The 20,477-nt window shown below is 41.8% G+C and overlaps 1 protein-coding gene across 7 annotated transcripts, besides 3 other annotated features; it reads left to right on the top strand.

The window, feature by feature from the left end:
- MFAP5 (microfibril associated protein 5) lies at positions 1-16,884 on the top strand. Of its 7 annotated transcripts, NR_123733.2 has the most exons (11): positions 1-200; positions 721-780; positions 1,929-1,964; positions 6,997-7,041; positions 7,380-7,412; positions 8,346-8,390; positions 11,136-11,165; positions 12,238-12,325; positions 13,253-13,326; positions 14,272-14,340; positions 14,624-16,884. NR_123733.2 is itself a non-coding variant. In NM_003480.4 (10 exons), the coding sequence occupies exons 2-10, from the start codon at positions 723-725 to the stop codon at positions 14,734-14,736; spliced, it is 522 nt and encodes a 173-aa protein (NP_003471.1). In that variant the 5' UTR covers positions 1-200; positions 721-722; the 3' UTR covers positions 14,737-16,884. The 7 variants fall into 7 exon arrangements, 5 of the variants coding, with proteins under 5 accessions (NP_003471.1, NP_001284638.1, NP_001284639.1 ...); NR_123734.2 differs by lacking the exon at positions 11,136-11,165; NM_003480.4 differs by lacking the exon at positions 14,272-14,340.
- Positions 13,751-14,950: an enhancer, noted in NCBI's record as "BRD4-independent group 4 enhancer chr12:8800473-8801672 (GRCh37/hg19 assembly coordinates)". NCBI's record gives its function as "activates an origin of replication core promoter dependent on BRD2, P300/CBP, MED14 and CDK7 cofactors, and independent of BRD4, by STARR-seq in HCT116 cells {active_cell/tissue: HCT116}" and the evidence as "EXISTENCE:reporter gene assay evidence [ECO:0000049][PMID:35650434]".
- Positions 17,586-18,108: an enhancer, noted in NCBI's record as "NANOG hESC enhancer chr12:8797315-8797837 (GRCh37/hg19 assembly coordinates)". NCBI's record gives its function as "activates a minimal SCP1, AML or CMV promoter by ChIP-STARR-seq in primed H9 embryonic stem cells {active_cell/tissue: H9 hESC(primed)}" and the evidence as "EXISTENCE:reporter gene assay evidence [ECO:0000049][PMID:30033119]".
- Positions 17,885-17,944: an enhancer, noted in NCBI's record as "active region_5937". NCBI's record gives its function as "activates an Ori minimal core promoter by ATAC-STARR-seq in GM12878 lymphoblastoid cells {active_cell/tissue: GM12878}" and the evidence as "EXISTENCE:reporter gene assay evidence [ECO:0000049][PMID:35858748]".

Here is a 20,477-nt window from a genome sequence, read left to right as displayed (position 1 = left end):
ATTGTAACACACATTCTACGCCTAGCCTGGCTTTCTTGCTCTCCCTCATCTCATTGTTTCAGCGGAGGCCAAATCTGAAGTCCTTTCCAGGGAGTGGCTCTGTTCATCTTATTCGCCAGCCAAAGTAGGAACAGCGTAAGAGGAGAGAGACACATTCAGCAGCCAAAGGACTCGGTGGAAAGAGCAGAACACCATAGACAGTGAGTTATTTGATTACCTGAAACCCTAAAGAGACAGAGGGAATGTGTGTATGTCTGTGTGTGTGTGAAAGGGCTGGAGGGGGCAATGGGGAATGTCACTGAACTTAGTCTTGAGCAGACCTCCCAAATAACCGTGGAATTCTGATGAAGGAGACGCCAAGATGAGCAGATGATATGAAAAAGTCACGCATATGAGAAAGGAAGATTCCACATCAGGGGTGAAAGAGGCCAAAGGGTAGGGCCAAGTACGGACCATGTAGAATGTAAAATTTCCTCTGACTTGGTAGCAGAGAATAATAAAAGCAAGAATAATGGTAAGTGACCAAGGAATAGATTTGAGGGAGAAATGAATGTTGGGTGAAAGGTAAGAAAAGAGAGAAAGGGTTTGAGTCATAAGGGAAAATGAAGAAAGTTCTGGGAAGACAAAGAGACAGGGACCTCAGAGGCATCTTTCCCTGGCACTGAAATGCTGATGTGCCTCTGAGCATCACATTCTCTGCTATGCCCACCACCCCTATAGATATGTCGCTCTTGGGACCCAAGGTGCTGCTGTTTCTTGCTGCATTCATCATCACCTCTGGTGAGTCCTTTATTCTTTGCTCCCTAAACCCTCAGCTCCTCAGCTATACACGTGTGTGGCAGGAGATGGGATGGAATGAGGTCGAAGAGGAATAGCAGTAGAGATGCTTGGTATTGAGCTCTGGAATTCCTATTAGAAGAACAGATTTTGTGTTAAGAAAAAAAGTTCAGGAATGTGACTAGACTTCAGACTAGGGGAAAGGCCTCCCAAGAATTATGAAACTAAGGTGCAACTAAGATACACACAAATGCATATTAACCACCCAAAGAGGGTCACATATGAGTAAACAAATTGCAAAGCAAAAAAGAAGCTGATATACAAATGCATACACAAACATAGAGGAGGGACTACCTAGAAAGAAACTGGACCTGGGCTGGGCATGGTGGGCTCACACCTATACTCCTAGCACTTTGGGAGACTGAGTGGAGAGGATCACTGAGACCAACCTGGGCAACATAGTGAGATGAGTTAACCTCATCTCCATTAAAAAAAAAAAGGAAAAAAGAAAAAAAGAAACTGGACCAAATGTAAATCTTGAAGAAGAACAGTGGGAATACATACACTATTACCATCATGCATGCAGGTATACTCACATGCATGCAAAAAATATATGCCATACTGACACACAAGAGAAAAGTGATCTTCACAGATTTCCCAGAATCTGGCTAGAAGACTGGCCACAGAAAGTGAACTTTAGGCTGTAAAGATGTCCTACTCTATTTTTTTCCCTCCTTCTTCCGATACAGATTGAGAAAAATAATTCTTCTGTCTTGTTCACTAGCATAGCTAGCGGGGAAGCCGTGGGGCTAGAAGGGCTGCCAGGCCTCTCAGTGGAGCTGGACTTCATTCCTGGCCAGGAATGAGGGTAAGAGGGCAGCAGGGCTTTGTTCTCAGGAACTTGTCTTTTTTTTCTTTTTACCAAACAAATGCACAGCAGTGAAGGAACTTGTCTTTCTGAAGTCTTTCTATTCCTATTGGTTTTGTTCATAGCACTAATGGTCTCAGTAATTTTATATTGAGCTATATAGGAATAAGTCACAAAGATAAAGTATAACCATTTCTCCATGATTTTCTGATTTGTCTCATAAAAGGGTTACGAGGTATAGAGCTGCAGTCACTCACATCTCTTTTCTCTTCCTTTGCTATAGACTGGATACCCCTGGGGGTCAATAGTCAACGAGGAGGTAGGTGAACCCTTGGATAGCGGCTCTGTTGGGGTTCTTATCAGGAAAATTTAGATGAACAGAGTTAAAAAATCCTTCCTGCTTATCTATCGCTGCCAAAAAAAAAAAAAAAAGAATATTTCCTACAACAAAGAGATGCATTGCCAAAGTGTGAGAAATAGGATCAACTTCACCAGTTTCCACAATCCTATTATCCCATTCATAAAAGCTTCTTGTGTGTGTGTTTTTAAACTACTGAAACACCTTCCCAAGACATCCTCTATGACCATTTCTGTTTTCATTTTTCTTTACACATCTCCTATCTTACTCAGAAAATGCTTACTAGTCCTTACAAAAAGCGTTCCTTAATTCATGTAACAGTGGAAAAATGAAAGACAGGATAAGAAGTCATCTTATACCCATAATCCCAGCACTTTGGGAGGCTGAGGCAGGAGGATCGCTTGAGCCCAGGAGTTTGAGACCAAACTGGGCAGCACAGGGAGACCTCATCTCTAGAAAAAAAAAAAATTAGCCTGGCATGGTGGCGCATGCCTGTGGTCCTAGCTACTCAGGAGGCTGAGGCATGAGAATGGCTTGAACCCAGGAGGCTGCGGTTGCAGTGAGCCATGATCATGCCATTGCACTCCAGCCTGGGCAACAGAGTGGAACTGACTAAAAAAAAAAAAAAAAAATTAGAAAAAAAGAAGTCATGTCAATCCTAGGTGAAATTGTGGCACAACTGAGCAAAACCCAAAAGGTATTTTTTGGTTTTTCAGCTTTTTAGGTAATTTTTGCTCACACCATTCTCTATAACAAAAATCCCAAAAGTTGTGACCCCTAGAGGACCACTTCCTTCGACTTCATGAAGAAAACTCCATTCTGCCTCAAGGCATTCAACATAATTATAATTTATCTCTTTATTTCTCCCATCCCAGGAGAGTTAGAGGACAGAGCGCTCCAGTAGGCAACCTATTAATGGGATCATGAAATCAATTTAGTGGGTCACAACTGGTATTAATTTTTAAAATGAATTAAGATAGACCAAAACAAATATACCGGGATGCATTGCATGTGTTTTGCAAGAGTAAAGTATTATTTCATACAACTTTAATAAAACTTCTCTTAGTTTTCCATATGTATATACCAGGGTACAGTATATTTTTCTTGCAGTGGGTCCTGGTACAGAAGATAAAAATACAAAAATTTTTTTTCTGTTGTTGGTAAAAATACCCGAATCCCCGAGTTTCTGAATCTAAATCTGAATCTAGGAAAAAAGGGCAGGAATGTGACTAGACTTCAGACTAGGGGAAAGGCCTCCCGAGATTTTAGTACCAGCAAAACTGAAAATCGGAATTCATTTTTCTGGGCTGATTAGGAACCAGTCCTGTGTTAAGACTTTAGATGCTTTTCTCGCAGACATATCATAAGGTATGATGAACTGTCTTGCCTGGTGTGGTGGCTCATGCCTGTAATACCAAGCACTTTGGGAGGTTGAGGTGGGATGATCACTTGAGGCCATGAGTTTGAGATCAGCCTGGGCAATATAGTGAGACCCTTTTATTTTTTTTTTTTTTCGAGACAGAGTTTCGCTCTTGTTACCCAGGCTGTAGTACAATTGCGCGATCTCGGCTCACTGCAACCTCCATCTCCCAAGTACAAGTGATTCTCCTGTCTCAGCCTCCTAAGTAGCTTGGATTATAGGCATGCGCCACCACAACTGGCTAATTTTTTGTATTTAGTAGAGACAGGGTTTCACCGTGTTAGTCAGGCTGGTCGCAAACTCCTGACCTCAGATGATCTGCAGGCCTCGGCCTCCCAAAGTGCTGGGATTACAGGTGTGAGCCACTGCTGCCAGCCTGAGACCCTATCTCTTAAAAAAAAAAAAAAAAAAGCCAGGTGTGGTGGTTTGCTGGTTGTCCTAGCTACTCAGAAGGCTGAGGTGAAAGGATCGCTTGAGCCCAGGAGTTCGAAGCTGCAAAGGAGCTATGATGGCACCACTGTACTGCAGCCTGGGCAACAGAGTGAGACTCTCTCAAAAAAAGAAAAGGAAAAGAAAATACGTTAATTTTTTTTTTCAGAGAGAACTTCATGAATACTAGATAAAGCATTTATATGGTGATAGCTCTTGGAACAGTTGGTTAAACTGAGGTATATGCAGAAAAGCAGTACTCTGCCCTGAAATCCCAGAGACAGCTAGGATACATTCTCAAGCCCTCTGTTCCCCCATTGCTTTGCTCCTGTTTCTGTGAGTGGCTGGACTGGAATGTAGCTAGGCCTCTAGAGAAAGGGAACCAGGAAGGATTGGGCTACACCCGGGAGAGGCTCCACTCCTCTCCTGCAGTCTCTGGAATGATTCAGGTTAGTGGTTTTTCAAATATCCTGTGGGATTGGAACAGACTTGGATTCCTTTTGTTAAAAGATTGTTCTTCCAATCAATGACATCCTACTTAAAAAAAAAAGTGTTCTGAAAGAAGAAAGCCCATAATGAGTGTGAAAGGTTAAGAGGCTTTTTTGTCAAGCCTGATGAATTTTTTTTTTGGCAGAGTCTCACTCTGTCCCAGGCTGGAGTGCAGTGGCAAGATCTCAGCTCACTGCAACCTCCGCCTCCTGAGTTCAATTCATTCTCCTGCCTCAGCCTCCTGAGTAATTGGGACTACAGGCATGCACCACCCATGCCCAGCTAATTTTTGTATTTTTAGTAGAGATGGGATTTTACCATGTTGGCCAGACTGGTCTCAAACTCCTGACCTCAAGTGATACGCATGCCTTGGCCTCCCAAAATGCTGGGATTACAGGCATGAACCATGAAGCCCAGCCAAACCTGATGAATTTCTATCTGGAATTTAGAAAACAGGATGAGGTAAGCAAGGGAAATTCCTATGAAATGCTTTATTTGTATTTCACCTTTTTTATAATTATCCATAACTCTGATATGCTTTATAAAAATATTTGTTCCCATCAGATTTACATTTGACATTTATTAATAGAATCTGAAGTTAAAAAAAGAAGTCAGGCCGGGCATGGTGGCTTATGCCTGTAATCCCAGCACTTCGGGAGGCCAAGGTGGTTGGATCACCTGAGGTCAGGAGCTCAAGACCAGCCTGGCCAACATGGTGAAACCCTGTCTCTACTAAAAATACAAAAACTAGTCGGGCATGGTGGCACATGCCTGTGTCCCAGCCACTCAGGAGGCTGAGACAGGAGAATCACTTGAACCTGGGAGGCGGAGGTTGCAGTGAGCCGAGATCATGCCGCCACTGCACTCCAGCCTGGGCGATAGGGCGAGACTCCGTCTCAAAAAAAAAAAAAAAAAAAAAGTCAAAGCAAACTATGTGAATTTGCTGACCCCTAGTGGGTAGAATGGATTATGAATATAAGCTATTTACATTGAAGGGTAATTGCTGATGGAATGTTTGCTTAATATTTATTTTATTGTTATTACTATTATTTTATTCTTATTTTTTGAGATAGGGTTTCTCTCTTATCACCCAGGCTGGAGTGCAATGGCGCGATCTCAGCTCACTGCCACCTCTGCCTCCTGGGTTCAAGCGATTCTCCTGCCTCAGCCTCCAGAGTAGCTGGGATTACAGGCGTGCACCACCACGCCAGGCTAATTTTGTATTTACAGGAAACTGTAAATAATAGCACTTCCTAAAACCAGTGGTCTCTACTTTAAAAAGCAAAATAACAAAACAGCATTAACATTTACTTTTATTTTTTAATTTACATATAAATTATATTGTATGTGTTTACAGTATCCACCATGACATTTTGATAGATGTGTATAAAGTGAAATGGTTACTACAGTCAAGCAAATTCACATATCCATATCCTCATTAGTTTCCTTTTTTGTATGTGTATAATAAGAGCACCTGAAATTTACTCTCTTAGCAAACATTTAAATATTTAGCAAACAGGCCAGGTGCAGTGGCTCACACCTGTAATCCTAGCACACTGGGAGGCCTAGGCGGGCAGATCACCTGAGGTCAGGAGTTCAAGACCAGCCTGGCCAATATGGTGAAACCCCATCTCTACTAAAAATACAGAAATTAGCTGGGTGTGGTGGCGGGCGCCTGTAATCCCAGCTACTCTGGAGGCTGAGGCAGAGAATTGCTTGAACCCGGGAGGCGGAGGTTGCAGTGAGCCGAGATCGTGCGCTGCTGTATTCCAGCCTGGGCGACAGACAGAGCCAGACTCTGTCTCAAAAAAAAAAAATATATATATATATATATATGTGTGTGTGTGTGTGTGTGTGTGTATGTGTGTATATATATGTGTGTGTGTGTGTGTGTATATATATATATATATATTAGCCAGGCATGGTGGTATGCGCCTGTAATCCCAGCTACTTGGGAAGCTGAGGTACGAAAATTGCTTGAACCCAAGAGGCGGAGGTTGCAGTGAGCCGAGACTGGCCACTCACTTCAGCCTGGGTGACAGAGCGAGACTCTTAAAAAAAAAAAAAAATCAATACTACCTTTTATGAACACTCCTAAGCATATCAGCAAATTCATACCCAATTATATCAGAATTATGGGCTGGGCGCGGTGGCTCACGCCTGTAATCCCAGCACTTTGGGAGGCCGAGGGGGGCGGTTCACGAGGTCAGGAGATCGAGACCACGGTGAAACCCCGTCTCTACTAAAAATACAAAAAATTAGCCGGGCGCTGTGGCGGGCGCCTGTAGTCCCAGCTACTTGGGAGGCTGAGGCAGGAGAATGATGTGAACCCGGGAGGCGGAGCTTGCAGTGAGCCGAGATCGCGCCCCTGCACTCCAGCCTGGGCGACAGAGCGAGACTCCGTCTCAAAAAAAAAAAAAAAAAAAGAATTATGAATGTCAAAATCACAATGCCTTTGGTATATCCGATTTCATTTTAAATAAGTATTGCAAAGAAGTCATCAATCGTTTGTCATTATTGTAAGCAGTCAAGGAAAAACATTTGTGGGATACTCAACTCCGCTGGGCACTATGCTTCGCAATTTAACTTACTGGAAGTGCAAGGGTGGCAGGGAGACAGAGAATCTCAGAAATTGTTTTCTAATTTTCTTTTCAGACGATGTGACTCAAGCGACTCCAGAAACATTCACAGAAGATCCTAGTAAGCTACACTTTTGTTTGTTTGTTTGTTTGCTGTTTTATTGGGGATAGATAAAGGATCATGTCTACATAAAGAAAAATAAAGACTTCAGAAGGGTTGGAGGGTGCTCTGAGCTCATGCAGAGTTCTGTTGTCACCTTAGATGCCAGCATCTCTGTACGCATGCCCAGTCTTACTCTCTCTTCCATTTCTTTCTGCGATAGTCCCTCATCTGCCCGAGTCCACAGGCTTTCACTTCAGCCTTTCTTGCCTCCTTTGAGATCATCGTCCCCTTATCCTGCTTTCCTTAGCTACTTTTCCTGACTGCATTTTTTCATTCCTTGTTATGTGTCTTTGCAGATCTGGTGAATGATCCCGCTACAGATGAAACAGGTAAATTTTACCGCAGTTAAAAAAAAAATGGCATGGTTCTTGTTAATATTCACAATATTTATTCCAGCTCTTGAATTCATTCTGTGCTTTTATATTTGCTTTTGTTTTTTGTTATTGTTGTTTGTTTTTGAGAGGGAGTCTCATTCTGTTGCCCAGGCTGGAGTGCAGTGGCACAATTTTGGTTCATGGCAACCCCTACTTCCTGGGTTCAGGGGTTCAAGTGGTTCTCCTGCCTTGGCCTCCTGAGTAGCTGAGATTATAGGCACCCGACACCATGCCTGACTAATTTTTGTATTTTTAGTAGAGACGGGATTTCACCATGTTGGCCGAGCTGGTCTTGAACTCCTGGCCTCAGCCTCCCAAAGTGCTGGGATTACAGGCATGAGCCACAGCGTCCAGCCTGCTTCTATCTTTGGATACTGAGGTTGTGAGAGTGTTGTTCAGTGACAGTGCTAATTTTTTTTTTTTTTTTTTGAGACAGAGTCTAGCTCTGTAGCCCAGGCTAGAGTGCAGCAGCACAACCTCAGCTCACAGCAACCTCTGCCTCCAGCATTCAAGTGATTCTCCTGCCTCAGCCTCCTGAGTAGCTGGGATTACAGGCGCCTGCCACCATGCTAATTTCCGTATTTTTACTAGAGATGGGGTTTCACTATATTGGCCAGGCTGGTCTTGAACTCCTGACCTCAAGTGATCCACCTGCCTCAGCCTCCCAAAATTCTGAGATTACAGGTGCGAGCCACTGCGCCCCACCCAGGACTAATATTCTTTAAAAAAATTTATAATTATTTAATTAATTCTATTCCCTTATACATAAAACACAAAGCCAGACATAGTCTTCCACCTGCCACGGTATCTCCATTCTCCCTTTTCTTACTCTGCCTTGTGTTTGCAATTTGAAGCCCTCCTCATACCTGCTGTTTTGTGCCTTTTCAGTTTTGGCTGTTTTGGCTGATATTGCACCTTCCACAGATGACTTGGGTGAGTTCAGATCTGGGACCCCCAGGTCATCAGGGCCATTCTAGGCTTTCCCCAGAGCCCATTCTGGATAGTGTGCAGCTGCTGAAGGATCCTAAAAAGACAGGATGACAGTTTATGGAGCACATATTTCCAGTAGTTCAATTCAAATTAATGACATTGTTGAACACCTGACAAACAGGAACTGTGCTAATCTTTCTCTCAAAGTTTCAAGACTTGATGGGTAAAGGCAAGATAAAAGTATAAACACGTTTTGGAGGATAAAGGGTAGAAGAAGTAATGCTTTGACTGAATTTTTTTTTTTTTTTTTTTTGAGACGGATTATTGCTCTTGTCGTCCAGGCTGCAGTGCAATGGCGCGATCTCCGCTCACTGCGGCCTCCGCCTCCTGGGTTCAAGCGATTTTCCTTTCTCAGCCTCCCAAGTGGCTGGAATTATAGGCACCTACCACCATGCCTGGCTAATTTTTTGTAGTTTTAGTAGAGATGGGGTTTCGCCACGTTGGCCAGGCAGGTCTTGAACTCTTGACCTCAGGTGATCCACCTGCCTCGGCCTCCCAAAGTGCTGGGATTATAGGCGGCTAGATTATTTTTTAACAAATCATTATTGAAAACTTGCTACTAGGTGCCAAGGATATAAAAGTGAACAAAACTGATTTTCTTCTACTAGACATCTTTTGTGTAATATACAAGATAGACAAATAAACAGATAACTTTATTCAGTTTCACAAAATTCGATAATCAGGATAAGCAAGAGAAGCTATGGAAGACACAGAAAGAGTTCTTGACTAGGTTCGGTGCTGGGGGTGAGAAAAGGTTTTTTGTGGAGGGCACATTTGACTAAGCTGCTTCCTGAAAGACAAGTAAAAGTGAACTAAGTTAATAGAAGAGGGAAGAGCTTTTAGGTAAGGAAAACAATATAAATCAAAAGGTGTAGGGTGGACACGAAAACCAACCAGAGAGACGTTTATGCAAGGTAAGATTATAATTAGATTTGTGCATTGGAAGGATCACACCCCACTTCCAAACCCCCTACTGTACTCCCAGGGCAGTGTGGAAAACTGATTTGACCGTGATTGATCGCCTGGAACCCGGAAAACCAGCAGGGCCACTGTTGCAGTGTTCCCAGTAAAAGATGCTGCCCTGAATCAAGGTAGAGATAGGGAGAATTAAATGTGAGCTATAAGGGAGAGGGGATTGTTGAGTTGACATCCAGTTTTCTTTTTCTTTTTTCTTTTTTTTTTTTTTTGACACAGAGTCTTGGTCTTGTTGCCCAGGCTGGAGTGCAATAGCGCGATCTTGGCTCACTGCAACCTCCGCCTCCCGGGTTCAAGCAATTCTCCTGCTTCAGCCTCCCAAGTAGCTGGGATTACAGGCGCCCACCACCAAGCCTGGCTAATTTTTTTGTATTTTTAGTGGAGACGGGGTTTCAACACGTTGGCCAGACTGGTCTTGAGCTCCTGACCTCAGGTGATCCAACCACCCTGGCCTCCCAAAGTGCTGGGATTACAGGCATGAGCCACCACGCCCAGCCATGACATCCAGTTTTCTAGATGTGGCTATTGGGTGGATGGTGGTCTCATTCACTGTATAACAACTAGAATTAGTGAAGGGAAAGATAATTAAGTCTGTTGGATATACATTGAATGTGAAAGATCTTTGAAATATTCAAGAACTCTTCCATAAAAAGGCAGTTGGATTTATAGGTCTGGAGTTTAGGAGAGAGATGAGGTTGGAAATACAGGTTTGGGAATTATCAGCATATACACCTGCCTAGAAACCATGGGATAGATGAGATCTCATAACACAGGTCCTAGTATTCTATTTGCAACACTTCCAGTGACATTTTTCCTGGTAACTCCCCTGACTAGTCTATTCATCTAACTCCTTGGCTTGTTCTTCATTCTGTGAATAAGGCCCATGTTAAATTTGCCCCTAGGTTAGGATGACTCTCATTATTCTTTATTTATTTATTTATTTATTTATTTATTTATTTTGAGATGGAGTCTCCCTCTGTCACCTAGGCTGGAGTGCAATGGTACGATCTTGGCTCACTGCAGCCTCTGCCTCCCAGGTTCAAGTGATTCTCCTGCCTCAGCCTCCTGAGTAGCTGGGATTACAGGTGCACATCACTACACCCAACTAAGTTTTGTATTTTTAGTAGAGAGGGGGTTTCACCATGTTGGCCAGGCTGGTCTCAAACTCCTGACCTCAAATAATCTACCTGCCTTGGCCTCCCAAAGTGCTGGGATTACAGGTGTGAGCCATTGTGCCCAGCTGACCCTCATTATTCTTTACCCAACAGCTTCTATCAAGAGAATTTATGATGATGTATCTAATCTACAGAAAATAAATTTTCTCTTATAAGGAAGAGCTTGTACAGGATAATAATCTTTTCTCTGCTTAGCTCTAGGAAGAAGCTCCTCTGGGCATGTAACTCTTTGCCTTGTGTTCCTACTAAATTTGCTTCTTGTCAACAATACAGAGATACTCACAATACAATGAATTTCTCAACTCTTTAGAAAGGAAAGGAGAAAGGAAAAAAATCCCATCCTGCCTCCTAATGTCTTCAATTTTGTGGAGCAAATCAGCTCAATAAGGGTTTTCTTTTAGAAGTTGCTAAGAGTTATTAATTCATTTGCTCCCTATTTATGGGCACTCCAAGCAGGTCCTAAGTGAGGCAGTGTGGCAGTTACAGAAGTAGTAACTTCTAGAATTGGTAACAGTGGAATAAAATTTCTGCCTTTCAGCCTCCCTCAGTGAAAAAAATACCACTGCAGGTATGATTGTTGCTTGCATGCCTTCTTAAGCCTTTTTTTCTTCCTGTGGATTCCTTACCTCCTTGTTCTTTGGAGGGTACTTGGCACATCTTCTAGTTTACTTCCAATTATTTCTCAAAGAGTATTAGTGTTCTTCACTCCCTTACTCTTTTTTTTAAAAAAATGAGCACCTGTCATAAAAGTCAAGGGGAAAGAATGGAACAAATGTTGCATGGTCCCCAAATAGCCCTCTCCCTAAAGTACCCTTGCACATTATGTGGTGGTTAGTGGATTGGGAAGTGAAATCAATTTAACTTCAAGGACTCCATATTACCACGGAGGCCATGGTTAAAATTGCATTTCCTAATGTACTGATAATTCTGATATATAGCTAGGGTTGAAAACTACTGGAACAGAGAAATAGCAACCTGCCTAAGAAATCTGATTCTTTCAGAATGGGATTATCAGCATTTCTATTTTATTTTACTATTTTGTTTTATTTTATTTTATTTTTCTGAGATGGAGTCTCACTCTGTCACCCAGGCTGGAGTGCAGTGGCGTGATCTTGGCTCACTGCAACCTCCGCCTCCCAGGTTGAAGTGATTCTCCCGCCTCAGCCTCCCGAGTAGCTGAGATTACAGGCAACTGCCACCACTCCTGGCTAATTTTTGTATTTTCAGTAGAGACGGGGTTTTACCTTGTTGGCCAGGCTGGTCTCGAACTCCTGACTTCAGGTGATCTGCCCGCCTCGTCCCCGCAAAGTGCTGGAATTACAAGCATGAGCCACCGTGCCCAGCCTATTTTATATTTCATAACGGACAATTCTAGAAAGACTTTATTCCTAGAAGTGCTCTCAGAGATTATTTTATCCACTTCTACTTCCAAGTAGGGAAGCGCCAAAACTTCATTTAGTCAATTCCCTCTTGCTGTGTTTTTGGTGGACGGAAAGGATGTAGCCCAATTTATAATGATTCTCTGTAGAGATTACTCTGTATTTTTTTCCTACTCTATCTATCCTTCCCAATTCCTTCAATCCTTCATTTATGCTGCTTCTATTTGGACCTCCTTATTTTTTTGTATTGGGCTTCCTCAGAGTGCTGGGATGAGAAATTTACCTGCACAAGGCTCTACTCTGTGCATCGGCCGGTTAAACAATGCATTCATCAGTTATGCTTCACCAGGTAAGGGATCCCAGAATGCCCAAAAAGCATCTTCCATGGTAGTGTTTCTGTGTTGATAACTATTTAATGAGCACCCACTATGGAATTGCAAACTTTGATGGGGCCAAAGTTTTTAGCACAACCCTCCTAGTTATTGCTGAATGTACCAACTAGAACCTGGAGTATGGGCTGAAGTGTACAAAGAACAGGCAGAGTAATAGAACTTAGAAGGGAAATGAAGGTGGGCGCTGGAGGAAGAAGGGTCATGAGGGAAATACTGGCATGCTCAATTTATTACCTGATAGAAGGAGACTGAAGAGAATGGCCCAGCTCTAAGGTAGAAAATAGTGGGGAGGAATATTAAGCCTGACTTTAGGTAGAGTGTGCAAAGTGTCACTAAGAAGAATAACTAAAACAATGGCCTTTGCAACAACTTGGATGGAGCTGGAGGTCATTATTCTAAATGAAGTAACTAAACAATGAAAAACCAAATATTGTATGTTCTCGCTTATAAGTGGGAGCTAAGCTATGAGGAGGCAAAAACATAAGAATGATATAATGGACTTTGGGGACTCAGGGGAAAGAGTGGGAGAGGAATGAGGGATAAAGGCTACACATTGGGTACGGTGTACACTGCTTGGGTGACGGGTGCACCCAAATCTCAGAAATCACCACTAAAGAACTTATCCATGTAACCAAAAACCACCTGTACACCAAAAACTATTGAAATAAAATTTAAAAAACAGAAGAGTAATTAATACCATTCCCTCCCCTATTTTCCAGTTGGGGGGCAAAAGTCTGAAATACTTAAGAAAATACAGTTGGGGAAAAGCAGATAGGGAAAGTGGGGAATATGAGAGTTGAAGAGGCATCCCAGACCCAGGTGAGTTCTCCTCTCAAGGCTTTCTTCCATCTCCTTCCTTGCCTATGACACTGGGACGTCTGCAGTTTACGACGTATGTACATCGTCAACAAGGAGATCTGCTCTCGTCTTGTCTGTAAGGAACACGAAGCTATGAAAGGTAAGATGATGTCTGGATGTTTAATGGAGAGAAGCAGTTATGAGAAGGGTAGATAGGGACATGATATTACTATATCCAAAGTCTGGTACTAGAGGAGGGCTTCAGGCTACCCCCTTAGAGTCCATCAGCTCCTGCTGGAAGTTATCTCAAATAAACAATCTACATAAAGCAGTATGCTTGATATACAAACATAACCCTAAGAAAAGTACCCCTAGATCCCTGTCCTACTAGATTGTAACCCCACAGTGTCTCCTACTTAGAGAGCTTTCTGACACTCTGGCTATTTTAAAGATCATTCACTGGGGTTCTAGGGAAAATTTCAAGTCAGCCATTACAGATAATAGACTCTGCTAGTCCGCAGCCATGTTCATAACTAAAAATAAAACATACACACGCACATGCACTAATTTGGAGACAGTAAGGTTTGGATAGGGCCTATAAATAAAAAATAGATGGGACATTTAGAAATCAGCTATGTTATAAATAGTTCACCAATTCCAAGAACAATGAACATTTCTTACTGTGACATTTCAGGTAGAAGAAGGTAGAAAGATGTTATGGGGCAATTACGAGGGCCCAAAATGTGTGGTTGTAGACCATACATGGTGGAAACAAAGATACTCTCACCTTCCCCATGGCCAGCCCCGAACGATGGCTGTGGTTGGTGAAAACACCACAGACAAAGCCATTTCTGACTCAGCAGCCCGCTTTGTGCTGAGTTCCTGAGTAAGAGCTGTAGTTAACTTCGCAGAAGGAAACTTGCTGTGTGCCCCCATTGGCTTTGTGCAAGCCACCTGCAAGGGAAGCACCTTGAGATTGAGGATGGGTATTTGGGACTCTAGGCACTTTCAAGTATCTCAAGGGACTTCCTAAAGTTAGCTGTTTGCCCATAGTAAGCACGTAAATGTATACTGAATGATTGGATCTCATTTTTCTATTTAATAGATCCATGATTAGAAGAATTGGCAGCTGGATATATAAAGGAAACTAACATTTACTGCTCACCTGTGCTAGGTACTTTGCATACATGATTTCATTTTAATACTCAGAAATATACTGTTGAGGTAGGTATTTTAATTCTCATTTTACAGAAAGGGATAGTGAGGTTTATAAAATTTAAGAAACTTTCTAGGAAGTGGCAAATAACTAAAGTAAGTGGCAGAGCTGGTTAAAACCCGGATCTTTTTCTCTCCAACCTTTTCACTACACCACACTGAAAAGTCTTCTCTATCCCTTAAAACAAGAGCCTTTGTTATCTTCTGCATTCTCTTCCCATGATGTTCTGCTTCTCTTCTAGATGAGCTTTGCCGTCAGATGGCTGGTCTGCCCCCTAGGAGACTCCGTCGCTCCAATTACTTCCGACTTCCTCCCTGTGAAAATGTGGATTTGCAGAGACCCAATGGTCTGTGATCATTGAAAAAGAGGAAAGAAGAAAAAATGTATGGGTGAGAGGAAGGAGGATCTCCTTCTTCTCCAACCATTGACAGCTAACCCTTAGACAGTATTTCTTAAACCAATCCTTTTGCAATGTCCAGCTTTTACCCCTACTCTCTACTTTTTCACCCAAACTGATAACATTTATCTCATTTTCTAGCACTTAAAATACAAAGTCTATATTATTGCATAATTTTGCTGCTTCTCAATATCATAGACACAGTGAATAGATGATGACTATATGGCTTATATACAAACATTCTATGTACAATTTCAAGGGAGACTAAACTTTAGGCTAATAATCTTTACTATTGAATCTGTCTGATATAGATCTTAGGGTTGAAGAAGCTATCTTTGTCTATTTGGGCTAACCATAGAATTTCATTTATTTTCCTCACAATATTTTCCTAGACCAACTCCCCATCATTCACGTGTTCCTCTTTACTCTTACTTTAACTATTTTGCTGGCTTGCCCGAAAATTTGCCTGGCAAGTCTTCCTTATAAGACACATCATGGTAAGTTTTGTAGTCCTGTAAGATTCTGCAACACAGTCAAGAATTATACAATCCTACTAGCAATATATAAGGACCCAAAATGTCTTCTGCTAAGCTCAGAGGCTGGGGCTAAAGCATGAGGACTATGCCAGCTATAGAACTTGGACTCATAATTCGCTATCCAATTTTTCATGCAGTTGTCTAGTCGGGAAGTAAGGTTGGAAACTAAGTCTCATTTACTGATTCGTTTATGGGTAGTACCGGGATGAACCCACCACCACAAAGCAAATTAGACAACTTAATGTGAAATCATACCATTGGTTGACGTTTCCTTGAGTTGCTACTTCGTTCATCTTCACAACTTAACAAGTGCACGGTCGAATTATTGTGCAAGTGGCTTTTGGATATCCTGATTGGGGCCTAAGAAGGGCATTCAGACTTGAATTTTAATAGGCAGACAGAAAGTTTGCCTAATAGTTAATACGAAAGAGTGAAAGAAACACAATATTCAGACAACCCACATTCTTATCCTGGCTCTAGCAGTAACCACGTAGCCTTGGATAAGCCATTTTCCTTCATTAGGTCCTGGTTTAATTTCCTCATCTTTAAAATGAGAAGGTTAAATTTATCTTAGTACTGCTGGGCGCAGTGGCTCATGCCTGTAATCTGAGCACTTTGGGAAGCTGAGGCGGGTGGATCACTTGAGGTCAGAAATTTGAGACGAGCCTGGCCAACATGGTGAAACCCCATCTCTACTAAAAATACAAAAATTAGCTGGGCGTGGTGGCACGTGCCTGTAATCCCAGCTACTCGGGAGGCTGAGGCAGGAGAATCAATTGAACCTGGGAGGCAGAGGTTGCAGTGAGCCGAGATGGCGCCATTGCACTCCAGCCTGGGTGACAAAAGCAAAAGTCCATCTTAAGAAATATATATATATATTATATATATTCTTAGTTCTAAGATTTCCTTTAATTCTATGATTCTCTGGATTTAAATGCATTATTCATATTTCTTGAAGCTTAGATACAGTCTAATTCATAGCAACCATATCTGCTTTATCCTAGGTGAGGGTAGCAGTCCACAATGGAATAGAAGAAAATCCCATTATAACAAATGACAAATTATATATCATGAATCCTTCTGTCTGACTAACTCAATAACTTTCTATAAAAGCCAATGGAATTCAAATAGGAGCTAGGAGACAACAAGTTATATATGACAGTGGAGGTTGTATTCCTTTTATATTGCTGAGAAAACTAGTTAAATGATCAGATTCTTGCTGTTAAGAAACAATTTCGTTTAATGGGATCTGTACAACTGATTTTAAAAAAATGCTACAAAAAGCCCCAAAGCATATAATCTCTACTCCTTACAGTCTCTAGAATTAAATGTACTCATTTAGACAACATATTAAATGCATATTTTAGCCACTTTAGAGAAACCTCATAGGCACAGAGTTTCCAAGATTAATTTTAAGAATATCTTCACGAACTTGACCCTCCTACTCCACATTGCAACATTTCCATCAGACAGCATTTCAATTCCAGTATTATGTATATTGCAAATTAAACATTTTAAAATATTTTTTTCCAATTTATTTCTCAAAATAAAATGTCTTTTGTTCTGGTTCTTTTTCTCTTCTATGTTTACGAAAAAGGCCTGAATTTATGAACTTTTATTCCACTTTAAAAAATGTGTATCAGCCGGGCGTGGTGGCTCACGCCTGTAATCCCAGCACTTTTGGAGGCTGAGGTGGGCGGATCACCTGAGGTCAGGAGTTTGAGACCAGCCTGGCCAACATGATAAAACCCTGTCTCTAAGAAAGATACAAAAAAATTACCCAGGCATGGTGGCGGGTGCCTGTAATCCCAGCTACTCGGGAGGCTGAGGCAAGAGAATCGCTTGAATCAGGGAGGTGGAGGTTGCAATGAGCCAAGATCATGCCACTGCACTCCAGCCTGGGCAACAACAGTGAAATTCCGTCTCAAAAAATAAAAGAAGATTCAGAAGAAAGTTTTTACTCATTAAGGTGTTAATATATTTTTTTTCCTGGTGAGCCCAAATGACAACCTTGCTAAGCAATGGCTTTCAATGAAAAGCCATTTTTTAAACCAAAATAATGGATCTTTAATGTTAGAATTAAAGAATTTGGTAAAAATATCAGTAGATATTGAATGCCCTCCTGGTATCCTGAATAGATAGCAGCCTCATCTACCTATTCATAAAGATTCACTTTTATTTTCCCTTCTCTAATTGAGTTGATTCTACTCTGAGGCTTTTTCCATATTCCATGCTTACGATTCAAGAAAATTCTACTTTCTCCTCAAATGAACACATTCTGGAAATTTGAGTGTGTCTTCTACTCACTAAATACAGTTCTATGCACACTCAGTATTGTTTTGACTCATGGCAGAGAGTGCAAACCGCAGCTGGTTTCCCAATTTCTGAGTCTTACTTTGATGACATATACAGCAGTATATGTTGCTAGACACAAGCTCCTCCCTTCTCTGCTTCAGGGTACTTGTGGCCAAAGTTAGATGTTTAACTAACCACTTTACACCTGGTGAGAAGGCACAAACAACCTCTAAGATCCCTCTTCCTTTTGTACTGAAGCAGCTGTAACACAATGAAGAAGGAAAACAATCCTAAAAGAAGTGGGAACAAAGATGGCACCAGACCAGGGGATAGCCAGATGAGAGAGTGACAACAGGCTGACACCAGGGTTGGGGAGCCAGGAAGCTAAAAGATGGAAACTGTCAAATTCCAAATTCAAAGGGAATTTGAGAAGTGGGGAAGGGGTCCTGGGGGATCTGGAAACTTAGGGTAAAACAGAAAGACATCAGGAGCACAGTGGAGGAGAGGCAGGACTGTCCTTGTAGCTTTGTCAGCTCAGGGAGGCCTTACTTAATAAAGCAATACTCTGATAAAAACGGAAGCCCTTGTATCTTTGAGCATTTTCACCAACCAAACATCAGGGAAAGTGACTTGTTAAGACTGCGGTAAGGAGAGGAACAGGTGGCCACAGTTTTGTTTTCTTTCTTTCTTTCTTTCTTTCTTTTTTTCTCTAAAAACCAGTCAAGCAGACCCAGAAGCAGCAGTCAGACGACAAATTCTGGGCAGAACCCAAGATGGAAAAAGCAAATGTTTATATAAATAGAGGTGCAGAGCCCACAGCTTCCTGTTGACAAATCGAACTTCACTTTACCTCAAACCCTCATTTTTTTTTAATAGCTGATAATGATTTGGTGTTATTTTTCAACTTGTCCAATCACTTAGAGTAAGGTTCTAGTTTATTCCTAACCCTTGGGTCTTGCAGTTCTTTTCTCTACCTCTGGTATTTTTCCCTTTCCTCTCCCTTTTCCTTTCTCCTGGGTACTTACCTGGCTATACATCTGTACTGTGTAGCTTTATGGAGTGTTTGGTTAAATTTATGTAACAATCCATAGGTATTCAAGATGATCTCATAAATTTGTGGGAGATCCACCTTGTCTTCCCTCCTCCACCAGACAAACAAACAAACAAAAACCCCAAACCAAACCAGAATAGATAAGTTTTGAGCAAGTATAAGGAAATTCATTTTATGGAAAATAATCTGTATTATATTGAAGAGATTGATGGGTGTTAAGGTATCAACTGCATCACTGTATACCATTTCCTAATATGTGGTTCTGTCCCAAATGATCAAAAACAAGGAGTTATAATGAAGGGTAATGAGAATTGTACAAAGAAACATTTCTTCCATTTGTATAAACCTCTATAAATCCATCTATTCTTGAAAATGGATGAGATTTTAGGGGAATGGGGAATGAAGTAGTAGTAACACAAATAAGCAGGCCAGGCGCGGTGGCTCACACCTGTAATCCCAGCACTTTGGGAAGGTGAGGCAGGCAGATCACCTGAGGTCAGAAGTTTGAAACCAGCCTGGCCAACATGGCGAAACCCCATCTCTACTAGAAACACAAAAATCAGCCGGACGTAGTAGCAGTAATTTCTCTCTTGTCATGTAGAAACTAAAAAAAATTATTACATCATTGATATATGGGATGTCTAGATCCCCAAATCAACATGGTTCTAGGTACAATAAAAGTGACACTTGGCCGGGCGCGGTGGCTCACGCTTGTAATCCCAGCACTTTGGGAGGCCGAGGCGGGTGGATCACGAGGTCAGGAGATCGAGACCACGGTGAAACCCCGTCTCTACTAAAATTAAAAAAAAATTAGCCCGGCGTGGTGGCGGGCGCCTGTAGTCCCAGCTACTCGGAGAGGCTGAGGCAGGAGAACGGCGTGAACCCGGGAGGCGGAGCTTGCAGTGAGCCGAGATGGCGCCACTGCATCCAGCCTGGGTGACAGAGCGAGACTCCGTCTCAAAAAAAAAAAAAAAAAAAAAAAAAGTGACACTTATCCTGTTCATTTTAATTTCAAATAATTGGTCTTTGTTTCAGTGCCAGTCCAGACTTGGCACTCACTAGTGGTATGATGCCAAGCAAGTAGCTTCTCAGCTGTAAATTGGTGGCAACATACCTGCCTTAGGGGTGGTTCTGTGAATTAACAAGATTATGTGTTCAAAGGTTTAGTAAGACTATTAATTAAGACTTATTAACTATTAAGTATTAGCTATTAACTATTAAGTATTATTAACTATTAACTATTAAGTAAGACTTATTAATTAATTAATAAGACTATAGGATTTTTTTTTTTCTACTTAAGCTGATTGGTTTCTGTTAAACTGTTCTTGAGTAGGTTGGCTTTTCCATTCTTTCCCTTGTAACGAAACAGATGAATCTTGCTGGCTAGCCAATGAGTAGGAAACTTGCAAAAAATGTGCAATACCAGAGATACTAGTTTCTCTACTGTTTAAAGTGTGTTTAAATGTACCTTTTTTTTTTCCTCATACAGATGGGGGTCTGGCTATGTTGCCCAGACTAGTCTTGAACTCCCAGCCTCAAGTGATTCTCCCACCTCGGCCTCCCAAAGTGTTGAGATCACAAGAATGAGCCGCTGTTCCTGGTCCTAATTTAAATGTAATTAAAATTTTTTTTTTGGCCAGACTCAGTAGCTCACATCTGTAATCCCAACGCTTTGGGAGACCAAGGCAGGAGTTCAAGACTAGCCTGAGAAACATAGCAAGACTGTCTCTACAGAAAATTAAAATACTAGCCAGGCATGGTAGCTGCCCCTGTAGTCCCAGCTACTGGGTATGCTGAGGCAGGAGGATTGCTTGAG

The sequence above is a fragment of the Homo sapiens genome, chromosome 12 (genome assembly GCF_000001405.40).
Source record: "Homo sapiens chromosome 12, GRCh38.p14 Primary Assembly".
Lineage (NCBI taxonomy): Eukaryota > Metazoa > Chordata > Mammalia > Primates > Hominidae > Homo > Homo sapiens.
Note: the sequence above shows the minus strand (reverse complement) of the source record. Positions and strands in the feature narration are given on the sequence as shown.

Excerpts from the sequence above, each read along its gene's own strand:
- MFAP5 (NM_003480.4), top strand. The coding sequence starts at position 723 with ATGTCGCTCTTGGGACCCAAGGTGCTGCTGTTTCTTGCTGCATTCATC. Across the intron at positions 12,326-13,252 it reads CATCAGTTATGCTTCACCAG|TTTACGACGTATGTACATCG; the intron begins GTAAGGGATCCC and ends GGACGTCTGCAG. Across the intron at positions 13,327-14,623 it reads GGAACACGAAGCTATGAAAG|ATGAGCTTTGCCGTCAGATG; the intron begins GTAAGATGATGT and ends CTTCTCTTCTAG.